The 19,210-nt window shown below is 37.5% G+C and overlaps 1 protein-coding gene across 12 annotated transcripts in view; it reads left to right on the top strand.

Annotated features, from left to right (window-relative positions):
* AKT3 (AKT serine/threonine kinase 3) overlaps positions 1 to 19,210 on the top strand; it is a 362,847-nt gene that overhangs the window by 206,706 nt on the left and 136,931 nt on the right. For all 12 annotated transcript variants that reach the window (NM_181690.2, NM_001370074.1, XM_047420641.1 and 9 more), the window contains one exon: positions 6,632 to 6,763. In NM_181690.2, the coding sequence (NP_859029.1) occupies positions 6,632 to 6,763 (132 nt within the window). The remainder of the gene's footprint in view (positions 1 to 6,631; positions 6,764 to 19,210) is intronic.

The raw sequence follows: 19,210 nt of genomic DNA, 5'->3' as shown, positions 1-19,210 counted from the left end.
AGCACTAGGTTGTGATAGTAAAGTTCTACTGGTTTTTTCAAGAATTTACAAGCTTTATTATCAATTGAAATTAACTAATATCCAAATGTCATATAAGGACAACAGTTTTTCATAATATTTTGAGAAACAGAGTATAGTCATAAGAGAATATCTGCATAATTTTGTTTCTAATATAACTTCATTATAAGCATAAAAATTATAGAGATTAGAGAGGCTCAAGATATATGAACCAAGAAAAAGAAATAAGCTGTATATTGACGTGTTACAGTATACAATTAAAAGATCTTATATGTTTGAAGTTCTGTTAACTTTTTTGAAATAATTTAAAATAGTTCTAAATTACTGCAGAAGTTAGTGCAGAAAAAGAACATTTGTACCACTACTAACTCCATAACGGTCCTAATGACTTAGCCTCAAGTGGTAAAATATTACTGTCATTTTCATAAGATAAATGATTCTAGAACTATACCCTTATGTATATCAATTATCATGCAAAGAATTGCAGAAGTTTGGATTATTTTTAAGACTATAACCACACATTGTGAAATAAGAATATTATTCTAATAATTTATAGGATACATTTCCTTCTTTAATTTTTGCCAAATGGCAATAGGATTAAAAGAATAGGTACTGATTATGATGGCTATGGTGACAGTTGTCAGACTGCTATTTCTTGCATGAAATAGGGTTCGTTACCTCCCTTAGTGGTGGATTATCGCCACAGTGTCTGCTCTGCCAGTTAAAAACTCAATTGGAAAGGAAGGATGTTGGGTGTAAAGAGGCAAGGGCCTCACAGACAGATTTAAGTGCTCTTCTTTGTTTGAATTAAAAGAAAATGTGGTTCTATGTTTTAATTAAAAGATAGCGTTTCAGAGGAATTTGCTTAGAGAACCCAGAAGTGCCTAATCTTGGTCAGCCAAGCTACCATTCTTGTATGCCTTGTCAAGTATGTGAAGGGGCATAGCATAAAAGGATAAAAAGCCAAGTGAGAGTCAAAATTCTGCTTAATTTTTAACAGACTAGCATAAGCTTCTCTGGGATCAACTGGCTATAATCTCATGATTTACGTTTAAAGTATAAGCAGTGCCTCCTGCTTTCCCACTAAGTTTGACTCCAGTTCTTGGGATTGTATCACCTAATTCCTGGCTGTAGTAACTCATACCAGTGGCCAGTATCCAGAGAAAAAGAGAAGGAAAAAAAGAACAATGGCCAGACCTGCTGAAATCTCATGATCTCACACTGCATGAATCTGCTTATTTAAAAGGGAGAAGCGACGTAACCAATGTAGAAGTTGACTAATAACATTAGCTCCACCTCTTCCCGTGAGAAAGAGCACCAGGAGAAGTGGGCAGAGATGGAGGCAAAGGAGTGAACTTCGTCAGAGCTCTTTTCCTCTTTCTACTTACTTGGTTTTGCTGTTACATTGTAAATGTATCTGGAATTTATCTTTTTTTGACCAAATATGCTAATACTGTGGTATTCTTGGAAGTTCTTTATGTTCCTCATTGATTATATGTTTATTTTTAATCTAATTTGTGGGCTAGACAGTGTCTTATATTCTGGTGTGCCTGATTTGAACACATTTATTAAGCATTTGTTATATATGCCCATGTATCTCTTTACCTAAAACAGCCACGTAAACATGTAAAGGGAAGAGTGTAACTGTAAAGTATTTCCCCAATAAATTCTTAAGATCAGGCTTTGGAGGAGGATTATTTTTCTGGAGAGTATTCATACTCCTATATTTTTATTAAAGACTTACTGTGGCTGGGCGTGGTGGCTCACGCCTGTAATCCCAGCACTTTGGGAGGCCAAGGTGGGCGGATCACAAGGTCAGGAGATCGAGACCATCCTGGCTAACACGGTGAAACCCCGTCTCTACTAAAAATACAAAAAATTAACCAGGCGTGGTGGCGGGCGCCTGTAGTCCCAGCTACTCGGGAGGCTGAGGCAGGAGAATGTCGTGATCTCAGGAGGCAGAGCTTGCAGTGAGCCGAGATCGTGCCACTGCACTCTAGCCTGGGCGACAGAGCGAGACTCCGTCTCAAAACAAACAAACAAACAAAAAAAAGGACTTACTGTATCTTTTTCCATAACATCATCCAGAAGACCAAAACATTTTGTAATAGTGTACATTTCATTTGTAAAGACTACACAATTACTGTGTATACCATTCTGACCATGAGCATTTGATAGCAAAAATACCTTTTTAATTTCCTGAAGTTCTGTCAAAATAGATGGGAAATCTGTTTCTGATTTTATCACATACAGTGCTTTTTAACTAATAGTAATTTCCATGTAAATTCCCTTTTTTTTAAAGATTGAGAGTCAAACTGACAAGCTGTGAAGTTCAGTGAAGGCTGTCATACTTTTTTTTTAGCCTCATTGTTCCTAAGAATTGCAATTTTACTATTTACTTATTTATTTATTTTCATTTGAGACAAGGTCTCACTCCTATCACTTAGGCTGGAGTGCAGTGGCACAATCGTGACTCACTGCAGCCTTAACTTCACAGGCTCAGGTAATTCTCCCAACTCAGCCTCCCAGGTAGCTGGGACTACAGACACCTGCCACTGCACTTGGCTAATTTTTGTATTTTTTTGTAGAGACAGGGTTTTGCCATGTTGCCCAGGCTGGTCTCAAACTCATGCACTCAAGTGATCCACCTGCCTTGGTCTTTCAAATTGTGGGATTACAGGTGTGAGCCACCACGCCCAGCCAAGAATAAGGATTGCAATTCTTAAGGAATATAGTAATATTTTATAATTAAATATTGTTTTCAACTGAAAATGTCATAAAGCATTTTACAGATTGTTTTCTAATTTTTACCCCCCAATAATTCAATTTCATTTTCTATGATATTTAATAATAAGGCACAGCAAGTATTATTTTCTAGTGCTTTTAAATAAAAAAATGAGGAACATACTGTCCAAATGAAACTTTGAGCAATAAATTGACACTCTGGCCTGGTTATGAAAATAATGTTTCTGAGTTACTTGCCATGTGTATTAGGGTTCTCTAGAGGGACAGAATTAATAATATATATATATATATGTGTGTATATATGTATGTGTGTGTGTGTGCGTGTGTGTGTGTGTGTATATATATATATATACACACACACATATATATGGAGTTTATTAAGGAGTATTAAACACACGATCACAAGGTTCCACAATAGGCCATCTGCAAACTGAGGAGCAAGGAAGCCAGTTTGAGTCCCAGTGCTGAAGAACTTGGAGTTGATGTTCGAGGGCAGGAAGCCTCCAGCACAGCAGAAAGACGTAGGCTGGGAGGCTAAGCCAGTCTAGCCTTTTCATGTTTTTCTGCCTGCTTTATATTCTAGCCACACTGGCAGCTGATTAGATGGTGCCCACCCGGCTTAAGGGTGGGTATGCCTTTCCCAGCCCACTGACTCAAATATTAATCTCCTTTGGCAACACCCTCACAGATACACCCAGGATCAATATTTTGCATCTTTCAATACAATCAAATTGACACTCAGTATTAACCCTCACGCTGTGGAACAAACTACCTCAAATTTAATGTCTTAAAACAATAGCCATGTAAATATCTCATGATTTTGTAGTTTGGGCCACTCTGTTGGTCTTGCATGCATGGCTCTCAATCAGCTGCCTACAGCTTATACATGGGTGGGCTGGAAAATCCAACAAAACCTTCCTTATGTGTCTGGGGCCTTGGTGCTGACTGTTGGCTATGGTGTCTTGGTTCTCCTCCACTTGGTCTCTCTCTCGGAGTGGTAATTTATCTTCCAGGGTCTCTCCACATGGCCTCTCTCTCCAGCAGGATAATATGGACTAACTGACAGCATTAGAGCTGGCTTTCTAGAGCTTTCCAAGAGAGAGAACGCATAAACTGCCAGGCTTAAAGGCTTTGTCTGTTACTGGCATAGTATCAGTTTGATCATATTCTGTGTTCAAAGCAAGATACAGGGTTAGCCCGGGGAGAGAGAAAGTTGACTCCACCCCTTCATGGGAAGAGTGGAATGTGCATACAGGGAGAAATGGGAATTTGTGGCAGCCATCTTTGCAGACTACCTAGCACAAATAGCTTGTTATGTAGTATTCCCTGATTTTTTCTGCTCTATTAATGCAATTAAATCTAATATTACCTGTTATTTGTTCAAATGACACTAGCTGATTTACTATATTTGATATTTAGAGCTACATGTTTGATTTTTAGTTGAATTAATATATCTTATTATTTTCCCTGCTATCTCTTTGCTACTTTATCTTTGAACTAGAGATATTATTGAATGTAAGACACTTTAATTTGACATTTGGGGAAAATTATAAAAAATATGAGCAGCAAAAAATGTTGAAAGTGAACGTAGGCATTTCTAAAATTTTAAGAATTTTTATGTAATATACATGAGAGATATTGGGATGTAGTTTTCTTGCATTGTTTTCCTCTCATTTTGGTATTGTCAAAAAATTGGGGTTCAGCCTGGGAGACCACATGGGTTCTTGGCTTCACACAAGAAGGAATTCAAGAGCAAACAACAGAATAAAGTGAAAGCAAGTTTATTAAGAAAGTAAAAGAATGAAAGGGTGGCTACTCCATAGGCAGAGCAGCCCTGATGGCTACTGGTTGGCTATTTTTGTGGTTATTTTTTAATCATATGCTAAACAAGGGGTGGATTACTCCTGAGTTTTCTGGTGAAGGGGCAGGGAATTCCCAGAACTGACAGTTTCCCCCGTTTTCAGACCATACAGGGTAACTTCCCGATATGTCATGGCATTTGTAAACTGTCATGGCACTGATGGGAGGTTCCTTTGGCATGATAATATATTATAATGAATGTATAATGAGCAGTGGGGACAACCGGAGGTCACTTTCATCACCATCTTGGTTTTGGTGGGTTTTGACTGGCTTCTTTACTGTATCCTGTTTTACCAGCAGGGTCTTTGTGACCTGCATCTTGTGAAAGGAGACCTGCCAAACTCCTATCTCAGTATCAGGATGATGCTTGTCTCAGAATGAATGAGAAGTATTCCTCATTTTAATTTTCAGAAAGAATTTGTATAAAATTGGTGTCATTTCTTGTTTAAATGTCTGTAGAATTCACCAGTGAAACCATCTGGGCCTGGAGTTTTCTTTGATGAAAGGTATTTAACCACAGACTCAATTTTTCTTAATAAATATGGGGTTATCAAGTTATCTGTTTCTTTCAAAGAAAGAGCTTTCAAAGCTTGAGACTTTCAAGCAATTTGTTCATTTCATCAAAGGTGTCAATTTTATTGTCAAAATGCCATTTATAATAGTCTCTTACGTTTCTTTTAATATCTGTAGAATCTGTAGTGATGCCACCTCTGTCATTCCTGATATTGGTAATTTGTGTCTTCTCTATTTTTCTGACCAACCTGGCCAGAGGCTTATCAATTTTTATTGATCTTTTAGAACTAGCTTTTGGTTTCACTGATTTTTTCTCTACTCTTTTTCTTTCTTTTAAAAATTTAATTGATTTCTGCTCTGATCTGTATCATTTTCTTCTAACTCTTTTGGGTTAACTTGCTTTTTTTTTAAGTTTGTTAAGGTGGAAACTGAAACAATTGATTTGAAATATTTCTCACGTTTACTTTAGATAAATGATAAACAGAAAAAAAAAGTTATAAAAGGCACTAAAATTTTCAGTGACTTGTAATTTCAAGATAAAACCCAAATACTTATTTGATATTTATAAACCTCTAAACTGAGTTTAAATTTATGTAAACTGATCATATACAATTACCTTCTCTTCTCTTCAAAAACCTATTAATATGAAAGTAAAGGAATTTCAAAAGGAGGCAAGTCCACAAAAATGAAAAGCTGGGTCGGGGAGGGGCATTAGGGCACAAATGCCTTCAAAAGTTTGGAAGTTTCTGGAAGAATGTTGATAGAGCAGAGCAGGAAAAGAGTACATAGAGGGGACTGTAGAGAACAAGTGGCACGTGTGACTGGCAAAATCCTCAGGATTACCTGACTTAAGAAAGAGAAGTGAAACTGAAAACAGGCACATTAATTAAAGATATTCTTCTTAGAGCTCCCTTCCTTGCTGTTCTGAATTGCATAAAGTACTCTCTCAGGAATAACAACTGCTTTCTTTGATTTATTTTAACTGAAGTATACGAGGTTCTCGACATTTCTTATAAATATATCCTATATCTCTCTCTTTCTTGGATTTTATCTTTATTTTGCTAGAGTAAATTCTCAGATAGCTCCTTCCAAAGCACTGCTTTTTTAGGCATATTTGGAAATGTTTGTGTGGAACATTTTTGATTATCACATTTTCTGGGGGTAGCAGCACTACTAAATCCTTGAAAACTTGAGTCCTTAAAAATGAGTGAAAATAATTTTTTTCCTCCTTTGCCCTTTTACACAACTGATAATTTCGCTGAGGAATTCTAGGTTCAAAATCATTTTCTCCAACATCTGAGAACTGCTTAAATTATTTTCAGCATCCATGGTTGCTAATGAGACAGCCAATGCCAGTCTGATTCTTTTTCATTTAAATGTGCTTATAAATTGGTAAAATTTGGTTTTGAGTGGATATTGCAAACACATATATATATGCTAACAAATAAATTGCATCAAATACTTCATATTATATTTTTTAATTTGTATTTTTCAGACAATGAATGATTTTGACTATTTGAAACTACTAGGTAAAGGCACTTTTGGGAAAGTTATTTTGGTTCGAGAGAAGGCAAGTGGAAAATACTATGCTATGAAGATTCTGAAGAAAGAAGTCATTATTGCAAAGGTAACTGATTTATTAAAGTTGATTACTAAATTTTTGTTTGCAGTGTGCATGTGTTTGTGGGCTCATGAATTTACATGCTAATGTATGCAAATTCCATTAAACAACCAAAATATGGTTGTAGACTACTGCTACAGTAATTTTTGTGTATTAATATTTGTAATTTTTAAAGTTTTCAGACATTCATAATATTTGTATATTATATACTAAAGCTATTCTCTTAAGGAAATAGAAATGTTTATGTTTGCATGTTTGGGAGAATGTTTTGTGATCTATATCATAATTATACTAGGATTGCTTTTTAATAATTTCTCCTATCGTTCTGAATTTCTTATTAAGATTGACTAGTGTAGATGATTTTTACTCATAAATTCTAAAGCTTATATAACATTGAATGGAAAAACATCCTAAATAGATTTGAAAATACTAGAATGGTGAAATTAAAATAAATTATTTTAGGAAGACTTACTTCCCACCCCCATACCTTTATTCAGCTTAGACCTTTTTAAATAAATAACATGTTAATGATGTCAGTTCTCACTCAGAGTTCTGAACAAAATCCCAATTCCCTCAGGAGATACACTTTACAAATTGGTCCATGCTTTAAGTCTTACTTAATTCAACAAATGACATAAATTACTGTTATACTTTATGGACTACTTCAACTTCCAGTTATTTGCTACTATAGTTTCCTCATCTGGAGTGTATTGCCCCTTACACTTTGTGAAACTTTGTTTCCCTGTCTTTGTACATTTGTTTTGACCTCAACTCCTTTACAAGTCAATGCCCCTATTGGAAAGAACATTGGCTTTGGAATCATACACACCTAGGTTCACTACTCACCTAATAGTCTTTAACAACCAGTACTTTTTAAAGCAGTACTTTGGGGAAGTACTGGTCTCTTAGGGGCATTTGGAAATGTTTATGGGGGGCACATATTTGCTTATCACAGTAACTGAGGAGGAGGGGTACTTCTGACAGTTACCAGGTAGAAGCCGAATGTGCTCAATATCTTGCAGTGTGTTGGGCAACCAATCAGAGCCTTAGTTTTTTTCATTTAAATTGGTATAATAAAACCTCTGGACAGGAATATTTTGAGGATTGGGATATGTAAGGTATTTAGCATCCTAGCTGGCACTTATTATTAATTAAGCTGATATTTTCTGGGAGGTAGTATAATGTCAGGTAGGTTTTGCTGCTTAGTAAGTGATCCAACTTTTTATGCCTTTATTTTCTTATCTACAGAGTGGGGCTAATAGTAGTACCTGCCTCATATGGTTATTTTCAGGGTTAAATGAATAGATAAATATAATAGTACATGCCATCAGTATTAAATAAACTTAACAAATTAAATTACAAATCAAATGAAATTAAAATATGCTATTGTTATAAATATTTGCTATAATTATTATTACTATTATTACTACCTACTGTGTATTATTACTACCTACTGTGTATCAAGCATCAGTAAATATCTATTCCATTCTGTTTTTTCTTTTATATATTAGCCTCACTTGTATCCCATTATTTAATTTCTGTTCATCAGACTGGGGAATATCCTATTAGACACTGTCTTATCTCACTACTTACACTTTTCTGAGTAACTGTACAGAACTACGTATATTTCACAAATGATAGACTATTCTGATTGAAGTAGTGCCTTGCTGCTTTCTCCCAACAAATCTATTTATCGTTTCTTGAAAGAAAATATGCTCATTTATAGCAAGATGATTAACACTATGAAGATTTGGAGTGTGACAAGACCTGGGGTTTGGTTCCTGCTGTGCCCTTCTCAGAGCAACATATCAGGGAAGAAATGATTTTGATATCTTTTTACTGGTGATGTTAATTTTGATTGCTTGACTACAGTGGTGTCTACTGTGTTTCTTCACTTTAAAGTTGCTATTTTTTCCATTCATAAGTAATCAGTATCTTAGAGGAAATACTCTGGGACTATATAAATAACCTATTTTTTCTTAAACTTTTAGGTACTAATTTTAACACCCATATCAGTGGATTTTGCCCATAATAATTATTACTGTTGTGTTCTAATGGTGATTTTCTATTTCCCTCATTCCTTATACATTTATTCTTAGTTAAGCTAAGGGTTTATCAATTTTGTTAATCTTTTCAAAGAACCAACTTTTGGCTTTGTTGACTTTTCTTTGTTTTATCTGTCTTTGCTTTAATCTTTATTTTTTTTTCCTACTGCTTGCTTTGGGTTAATTTATTTTTTTCCTAGTTCCTTAAGTTATAAAGTTAGATTGTTGATTTGCAATCTCTCTTATTTAGTATAAGCATTTATGGCTTTAAATTTCTCCCTTAGCACTGTTTTTGTGGCATCCCATAAATTTTAGTCTGTCGTATTTTTGTTTTCATTCATCTCAAAGTATTTCTAATTTCCTTTGTCATTGATTGTGTCTGTTGTTTAATTTCTACAAATTTGGGAATTTTCTTGTTTTCTTTATATTCTAACTTCATGTTGTAGTTGGAGAAGATACTTTGTATTTGTCTTTTAAAGTTTATTGAGACTTTATTTGTAATCCAACATATGATCTATCCTGGAGAACGTCCCCTATGCACTTGAAAAGACTGTAGATTCTGTTGTTAGGTAGAGTATTTTGTGTATATTTAATAGAGCATTTTGTGTATATGTCTTAGATTTAGTTGCTTTATTGAGTTGTCGAAGTCTTCCGTTGCCTTACTTCTTTCTTTCTGGTTGTTGTATTCATCATTGAGAGTGTAGGGTATTGAAATCTCCAACTATTATTGTAAAATGGTCATTGCTTTCTGCAGTTCTTTCAATTTTTGCCTCATATATTTTGATGGTCTTGTTATTAGGTATGTAAGTGTTTATTATTGTTATATCTTGCTGTATTAACTTTTATTAATAATATCTTTTTTTGGTGTTTTCTGGCCTTTTCATTTAAAGTCTATTTTGTCTGATATTAATATAGCCACCCCTTTTCTCTTTTGGTTACTATGGCAGTACCCCCTTTAGCTGCAGTTTTGCTTTTCATGGTTTGAGTTACCCCCAATCAACCACAGCCTAAATATAGATGAGTATAGTAAAATAAGATATTTTGAGAGAGAGACCATATGCATCACAATAACTTGTATCACAATATATTGTTATAAGTTTTCTATTTTATTATTGTTGTTAATTTACTTTTAATAGTAGCTGTTAATCTACTTTTAATATCCATTTATAAAGGATGTGCCTAATTTACAAATTAAACTTTATCTTAGGTAGTATGTGTAGGAAAAAAACACAGTATATGCAGTTGGCTCTCTGTATTCCATATCCATGGATTCAACCAATGTGGATTTAAAATACTCAAAAATAATAATACAAGAATAAAAATATTAAAAATTAAAAAACCAATGTATTGTAACAGCTATTTACATAACATTTACATTATATCTGATATGATAACTAATCTAGAGATGATTTAAAGTATATGGGAAGATGTGCATAGATTATATGCAAATACTATGCTATTTGATACTAGGGAAGTGAGCATTTGTGGATTTTGTTATCTGCAGGGGGATTTTGAAACCAATCCCCCATGGATATCAAGGAATGACTTTATAGAGTTTGGTACTATCCATGGTTTTAGGCAAATACCAGGGTCTCAAAACATATCCTCCACTAATAAGGGGAACTGCTATATTTTCATGTAATAATTTTTTCTCTTTCACTTTTACCCAGTTTGTGGCTTTTGGAGACAGCATGGAATTGGATCATTCTTATTGTTTGTTTAATCGACTTTCCCAATCTCTTTCTTTTGATTGGAGAGTTTAGTCCATTTATGTTTAAAGTGAGTCGTGATAAGGACTGACTTCGGTCCTTTTGCTATTTATTTTCTATATGCCTCATTGCTTTTTGTCCCTCCTTTTCTACATAAATGCCTTCTTTTGTGTTTAATTGATTTTTTAGTGAAACATTTTAATTCTCTTGTCATTTCCTGTTGTGTATATTCTATAGCTATTTTCTTTGTATAGGTTATATTTAATATCCTGAAGTTATAGTACTGTAATTTAAATTTATACCACCTTAACTTTAATAACCCTCAAAAACTCCACTTCTTTACAATTCTGTCCTTACTCCTTTCAATTGTTGGTGTCTTTAAATTGCATCTTTATGCATTGTGTGTCCAAAAACAAGACTACTAATTTTTTAATGTATGAGTCTCTTTAATCATGTAGAAAGCAAAAAGTGGTATTACAACACAAACTTACAGTAATACTAGCTTTTATATTTTTTTGTGTATTTAGCTTTACCAGATCTTTAATTCTTCATCTGACTTTAAGTGACTGTCTAATGTCCTTATATTTAAACCTGAAGGGTTTAATATAACTCACTATAGCTTTTCTTGTATGACAGGTCCAGTGCTAATGAACTCCCTCAGTTTCTGTTTACCTAGAAATGTCTTGATACCTCCCTCATTTTTTGAAAGATAGTTTTGCTGGATTCTTGCTTTAGTTTTTTTCCTTCAGCACTTTGAATGTATCAACCAATTGCCTTCTGGCCTTCAATGTTTCTGATGAGAAATCTTCGATAATCTTATTAGGGTGCCCTTGTATTTGATGATAAGCAAGCAAAACAGACTCATTGCTAATATGGAAAAAGTTCGAGTGGTCTTGATAGAAGTTCAAACCAGCTGCAACATTCCCTTAAGCCAAAGCCTAATCCAGAGCAAGGCCTTAATTCTCCCAATTCTGTGAAGGGTGAGAGAAGTAAGGAAGCTGCAGAAGAACAGTTGGAAGCTAGGAAAGGTTGGCGTGTGAGGTTTAAGGAAAGACACCATCTCTATAGCCTAAAAGTGCAATGTGAAACCACAAGTGCTGACACAGAAGCTGCAGCAAGTTATCCAGATATCTAGCTAAATAATTGGTGAAGATGACTACACGAAACCACAGATTTTCCATGTAGTTGAACTTAGGACTTCCTTAGAAAGGAGAAGTCATTGCCTGGCTCTAAAGCTTCCAAGGGCAGATTGACTCTCTCAGTAGTGGCTATGCAGTTGGTGACTTTAAGTTGAAGCCATTGCTCCTTTACCATTTCAAAAATCCTAGGGCCCTTAAGAATTATGGTAACTCTACACTGCCTGTTCTCTTATCAGTAAAGCAACAAAGCTTGGATGACAAGCACATCTGCTTACAGTATGTTTTACTGAATATTTTAGGCCCGCTGTGGAGACCTCCTCAGAAAAAAAGATTACTTTTTAAATATTACTGCTCATTGACAATGCACCAGATATACAAAAGCTCTGATGGAGATATACAAGGAGATGAATGTTGTTTTCATGCCTGCTAACCCAGCGTCAGTTCTGCAGCTCATTATCAACGTCCATTCTGCAGCCCATTATTTCAACTTTCAAGTCTTATTATTTAAGAAATACATTTTGTAATAGACAGTAATTACTGCCATAGATAGTAATTCCTCTGCTGATAGATCCAAGGAAACTTAATTGAAAACCTTTTGGGAAAGATTCACCATTCTAGATGCCTTGAAAAACATTCAGTCTTCATGAATGTTCATGGAAGGAGGTCAGAATATCAACATTAATAGGAGTGTGTAAGAAGTTGATTCCAATCTTCATGGATGAGTTTGAGGGGTTCAAGACTCCAGTGGAGGAAATAACTGCAGAGGTGGTAGAAATAGCAAGAGAACTAGAATTAGCAGTGGAGCCTGAAGATAGGACTAAATTTTATCAGGCCCATGATGAAACATGAACAAATGAGGATTTGCTTCTTATGGATGAGCAAAGAAACTGGTTTCTTGAGATAGGATCTACTCTTTGAGAAGATGCCATGAACATTGCTGAAATAACAGCAAAGGATTTAGAAAATTACATAAACTTAGTTGATAAAGCAGTGGCAGGTTGTGAAAGGATTGACTCCGATTGTGAAGAAAGTTGTGCTGTGGATAAGCAGCATGGCATGCGAAAGAGAAAGCCTTTCTTGGAAGAGAAAGTCAATATGGGAAACTTCATTGTTTTCTCATTTTAAGAAATTGCCACGCTGGGCATGGTGGCTCATGTCTGTAATCCCAGCACTTTGGGAGGCCAAAGCAGGCAGATCGCTTGAGGTCAGGGGTTCAAGACCAGCCTGGCCAATATGGTGAAACCTTGTCTCTACTAAAAATACAAAAATTAGTTGGGTGTGATGGCAGGTGCCTGTAATCCCAGCTACTTGGGAGGCTGAGGCATGAGAATTGCTTGAATACCAAGATCGTGCCACTGCACTCCAGCCTGGGTGCCAGAGCAAGACTTCGTCTCAAAAAAAAGAAAGAAATTGCCACACCCACTCTCACCTTTGGCAACTGCCACCCTGATCACTCAGCAGCCATCAACGTCAAGAGAAGACCTTCTGCCAGCAAAAAGATAACAACTTGCTGAGGGCTCAGATGACCCTTAGCCTTTTTTGGCAGTCAAGTATTTTTAAATTAAGGTATATACATTTCTTTAGACATAGTGCTGTTACACACTTAATAGACTACAGTATAGTGCAGTGTAAACATAACTTATATGCACTGGGACACCACAAAGTTAGTGTGACTCGTTTTATTGCAATACTTTTGTTGTGGTGGTCTGGAACAAAACCTGACGTATGCCTGTATGGAAAAAAAAAAAAGAGGCTATTTGGTTGAGACATGAAACATTGGTTCTTGAGAAGCCCAGGTCTATTGATGTAGAGTAACCTTTCCTTCATTACAGGTCTGACCATACTATTTGATTGTCCCATGAATAATATTCATTTACTTACACCATTGGAAACACCAAATTGGCGTTCAGTTTTTAGGATTTATCAATAGACAAAGCACCGAAGACTTAAGTATAGTTACAGAACAGACTGAAAATGTTATAAACCCTGTCAGTGTAAAAGAAATGGTATAGTTGATGGATGTCAGCTGAAAGCATGTTATAATTTTTTTTTTAAAAAAAAGCAAGAATGAATTGGAGGCCAGAGACAGGGTGATGGAGCCACCAGGGTTGCAAAGGCAGAGGTTGATGGAGCCACCATGGGCCTAGAGGACAGAAATACAAATTACTGAGGATTAGTTACAGACCTTGAAATCGAATTTCCCTTGCTGGGTTTAGAACTTGCTTGGAATCAGTGATGTTTTTATTTCTTCCAATTTCTCCCTTTCTGAGTGGGAATATCTGTCCTAGGCCTTTTCTACCATTGTATTTTGGAAGCAGATAACTTGTTTTCTAGTGTGAGAGGTCCACAGATTTAGAGGAATTTTGCCCCAGGGTGGATTATGCATAGAGTCTCACCCATTCCTGATTTGGGTTATAACACTTGGGACTTTTGAGCTGATGATATTTAAATGAGATTTTGGACTTTGACTTGATACTGCACTGGTTGAGACTTCTGGGGATATTGGCTGTAAAGTATGGCGTATGGGCTATAAAGTACATTCTTTGGTCTGAAGACATGTAACTTGGTGGGGGTGCAGTACCTTCTGTTCCAGTCATCTTACGGTATTTTGAGCTTTTGTATCTACCATTGGGTATGCAAAGCCCAATCCACTGTAAACGTCTATTTCCAAGAATTACCATTTATAGCTTCCTGGGGATAGTGGCAGTAGCTCAGTGTAGTGTATTTGCCAACTATATATGGGAGTGGGGGGACTTTTTTCTGGGGAATATATGCCATAGTCATCTGCAGTCTCTTTCTCCCTTTCTGGCAGACAGGATGGCTCTTTCTGGAATTTTGTGCATCAGAGGGTACAAGAGGAATATATCAATGGCCAGCCCATCTCTGTCTGCATTGCTGCATATCTCCCATATCTTTTTTATTTTTATTTTTGGAGACAAAGTCTCACTCAGTCGCCCAGGCTGGAGTGCAGTGGCGCGATCTCGGCTCACTGCAAGCCCCGCCTCCTGGGTTCACGCCATTCTCCTGCCTCAGCCTCCTGAGTAGCTGGGACTACAGGTGCCCACCACCACGCCTGGCTAATTTTTTGTACTTTTAGTAGAGACGGGGTTTCACCATGTTAGCCAGGATGGTCTCGGTCTCCTGACCTCATGATCCACCCGCCTTGGCCTCCCAAAGTGCTGGGATTACAGGCATGAGCCACTGTGCCCGGCCAATATCTCCCATATCTACTTATTTTGGGGACCCAGATAGCCACCTCAAACAAGCATGCTGGGACATCCACTTGCTGGTTCCAGTCATCTCCTGATCCTGAAAGAAGTTCTTTTGATGACCATCAACATGTCCTACTTTAATTCACCCCTTAAATTCCCATAATGATTCTCATAGAGCCATGCCTCATTAATCACCCATCCATTTATTATTTATTTTGTTTACTTATTTATTTTTGAGATGGAGTTTTGCTCTTGTTGCCCAGGCTGGAATGCAATGGTGCAAACTCAGCTCACTGCAACCTCTGCCTCCCAGGTGCAAGAGATTCTCCTGCCTCAGCCTCCCAAGTAGCTGAGATTACAGGCATTCACCACCACACCTGGCTAACTTTTTGTATTTAGTAGAGGCGGGGTTTCACCATGTTGGTCAGGCTGGTCTCAAACTCCTGACCTCAGGTGATCCACCTGCCTCGGCCTCCCAAAGTGCTGGGATTACAGGCGTGAGCCACCATGCCTGGCACATCCATTTAATAGTCTAGTTTTTCACTGCCTGTCAGCCTGACCATATGGCCAGGCAAATGGCCACAGCCCATTCATGGGTGTACATCCACACATGAAGGTTATGTTTGTTTAGTTCATCCATCATTGCAAGGAGAACAATGTACAATTGAGCCCTTTGAGCTGATTTGTTGTTCTTTCATCAGTTTCACATCAGTCAGTTATAGTGTGACAGCCTTCCAAACAGGATGCTGGCTGATTACCTTTGAACTGCTATCATCTGTAAAACAAGCCACTTTTTGGTGGTCAGTGAGAGCTCTTTGTAAGACACTAGCATTTGAACAGTAGGATGTGGCAATAGGATCTGGTAGCTTTACAGATGGTTCCAAAGTTGATCTGGAAGAAAAGAGGAGGCCAAGCGTGATGACTCATGGCTGCAGTCTCAACACTTTGGGAGGCCAAGGCAGGAGAATCGCATGAGTCCAGGAGTTCAGACTCAGACTCAGCCTGGGCAACATAGTGAGACTCCCATCTCTACAAAAAATAAAAATTAGCCAGGTGTGGTGGCATGCCTCTGGTGATACCAGCTACTCATTTGGCTGAGATGCGGGATTGCTTGAGCCTGGGAGGTCAAGGCTGCAGTGAGTTGTGATTGCCCCCACTGTATTCAGCCTGGTTGACACAAAGTGAGACCCTGTCTCAAAAAAAAAAAGGTTTTCTTCTATTGAATATGGTAAGTGTCTTCTTGCATTCCTCAGCACATTCCCGTTAAGCCATTTTCATTTTGTTATTGGTACTCGTTAGAGTGTTTCTCTGACATTACCCAAGACATGGATATTTTAGGTTTTAGGATTATGTTATGTCCTTCAGTCATAAAGACAGTTGCAGTTAATGCCCGGGAGCAAACCAATAATCGTCTCTCTAATGATGTGTTCTATACTTTCTTGTCTGGCCCATGGTCCCAGTGGTTACTGCTGGACAGCATTCATGGGCTTTTTGCCATAAGCTCCAGTCTGAGTTGCAGATACTTCTAAAATCATATCTGAGTGTATATCGTAAGGACCCAAAGGCATTAATTGAGCCACTGCAACTTAGATAATAGCCTGCTGTTGTTTAGGTTTCCATTCATATGTGTCCTTTCAGGTAGTTTTACGGATTGGATTTAGCACTAGTCCCCAGATACAGAATTTTTCTTCGCAAAACTCAAGCAAACCAGCTGCAGTGAATGCTGCTTGTTTACTTTCATGGTTATGTAATAAGAGCAATTTAATTTTAGTTGCCTGTAGAATGTTATGGGTGGTTCCTGCCCAGGTTATTCGTAAGAATTTCACAGTTTGGTTAGACCCTGGGGTATTTGCTGGATTTATCCTCCAGCCTGTGGTATTCCTGTGAGCCACCACTATTTTCAAGTTAGCCCTAGCTTGTTCTTAGGTTTCTGATACCGTCATAATGTCATCAGTGTAGTATATTATTGTATTCTGGACCTGTATCAAGTCAGAATCCCTTCGAAACAAATTATAATGGTAAGCTGATAAATGCAGATAAACCTGCAGCACTGCAGTAAGTATAAATTGGGATCATTCCCACTAGAAGGCAAAGTGCAGTTGTTTTTTTCCTGAGATTGGGACCAAGAAAAAAGTATTTTCAAGATCAATCAGTATGTCTCTCTCTCTTTTTTTTTTTTTAATTGAAACAGGGTCTCACTATGTTGTCCAGGCTAGTCTTACACTCCTGGACTCAAGTGATCCTCCTGCCTTGGCCTCCCAAAGTGCTGGGATTACAGGTGTGAGCCACTATGTCTGGCTGAGTATGTCTCTTTTAGATTGTTTTATTTTGAGAACTTCTGAAACCATGTCAGAGACTGCTGATGCTGTAGATGATACTATATTATTCAAGTCTTGATTATCTGCTGTGAGTTTTCATGAATAATTCACCTTTTTCATGCACGACACAGAACTTGTTGGTAACAGCACTCCAGTGTCGAACATGTCATTAATTCATGTGCTAAATCTCTTTTGGTCCACCATGATACTGTTTCAAATTAACAACCTATGTGAGCTGGGGAAGTTGCACAGATTCTCATTTAGCCTGTTCTGACTGAAGGGAAAACTAACAAGCTTTCTGCAGTATAGTAGCTGAAGTTTTCCCTGGTCAAACATCATATCCTTCCCCAAAACATATTCAGGTAATGTGGATGCAAGTACTTCCAAGATTCATTCAAACATACTAATTTTCATCCAAATTTTAATTTAATCCTATCAGCCATTTCATCCTCATATCCTGTCTTTCTAGTTATTGCCTCTGCTAGGATTTTACCAATAGGTTTTGGAATCAGAGGCACTGAATTCTATGTCAGGAACCCCTGGAAGGTTTCTTTTTTACCTTCTATTGTACCTACAGGTGTGCATATGGCCTTCAGTCCCTACTAGGAGATTAGTTAAAAGAAAGCCCTGGTTCTGTGTCAGTCCTCATCCTGATTAATTTGGTAGCCCATCACCTCTGATGATTTGAACTGAGGTTCTTCATTGTCATTTTTGCTTCCCAGCTTGGTGCATTCTTTGAAATTAGGGTGCATAGAGTGTTTGTTTAGGGCCCTTCAGTGTTGGGGGACTAAGAGGCGCTCCCATTGGTAAACCTAACTTCTGATAGTGCAGCATTAAGACCTTTGTGTTAACATCAGTGTCCATTTTATTCATCCCATCTCTTAGTAACCGTTTAAAACTTCATCCTGCTTGGGACTTCGTTGACTATCTGTTTTGTGTTACCCATTCACTTGTGATTCAGTCTTATTTTCTTAGCATCTGTAAGACCCATATTAAGAAGCTGAGACAACAAATCTGACACATTTCTTGGACCATTGATAGATTTTGCAGCAGTTATATCAGATGCCTGCCTAGCGGGGCCCCTTCAGTCACAGTATTTACCATGATTTAAAGGGCATATTAAGGATGAACAAACATCCTGATGACCATGAAGTTAATCCAGCATGGTTTGCATATGCAGCTTACCAGCTATGTCATCTATGGAGGAGTGCCACTTGGCATTTAAAGGAGGGGAAGGACCATTTCCCTTTTCAGGGTAAACAAATTTTACAGTGGCTTTTACCCAGTCCACCAGACTAGCTGTCCCTTTAGGAACAATCTATTGTGTGTTTGGATCATGTACAACAATCCATGATTGTTCAGTAATAAGGTTCCTGCATCAACCCCAAGCAGACTTCTTCATTCTGCAACATTCAGAATCAAAGATACTGCTCCCAAGTTAGTCACTCTCACAATCTATTTTCTTAAATGTTTTTCAGGAACCCGATGAATACCAGTTCACAAGGCAAGATAACTCCTTCACACATAACCCCTGCTTCCAGTACTGTCTTGGTTTTGTCACCCACCATTTGGACAATGTTCCTGGTGGTCAAAGGCCATAGATATACTGTCTGTTTTTTTCAGCATAATTTTCCATTGGGTTTATCCTGGAGGCTAACAGCCATAGCTCAAGCTAACCAAAATCCAAGCTTTTTGAGCATCAGGATTTCCTTAACACTCTCTCTTACTTTCATTTTAGCTGTTTTAAAATACAGCAGACTGGGCCAGGCGCAGTGGCTCACATTGGTAATCCCAGTACGTTGGGAGGCCAAGTCGGGCAGATCACTTGAGGCCAGGAGTTTGAGACCAGCCTGACCAACATGGTGAAACCCTGTCTCCACTAAAAATACAGAAAATTAGCTTGGCTTGGTGGCATGCGTCTGTAATCCCAGCTACTTGAGGGGCTGAGGCAGGAGAATCACTGGAACCCAGGAGGCAGAGGTTGCAGTGATCTGAGATCATGCCACTGTACTCCAGCCTGGGAGACACAG

This window comes from Homo sapiens, chromosome 1 (genome assembly GCF_000001405.40).
Source record: "Homo sapiens chromosome 1, GRCh38.p14 Primary Assembly".
Taxonomy (NCBI): domain Eukaryota; kingdom Metazoa; phylum Chordata; class Mammalia; order Primates; family Hominidae; genus Homo; species Homo sapiens.
The sequence above is the reverse complement of the archived record's forward strand: the minus strand, read 5'-3'. Positions and strand labels throughout refer to the sequence as shown.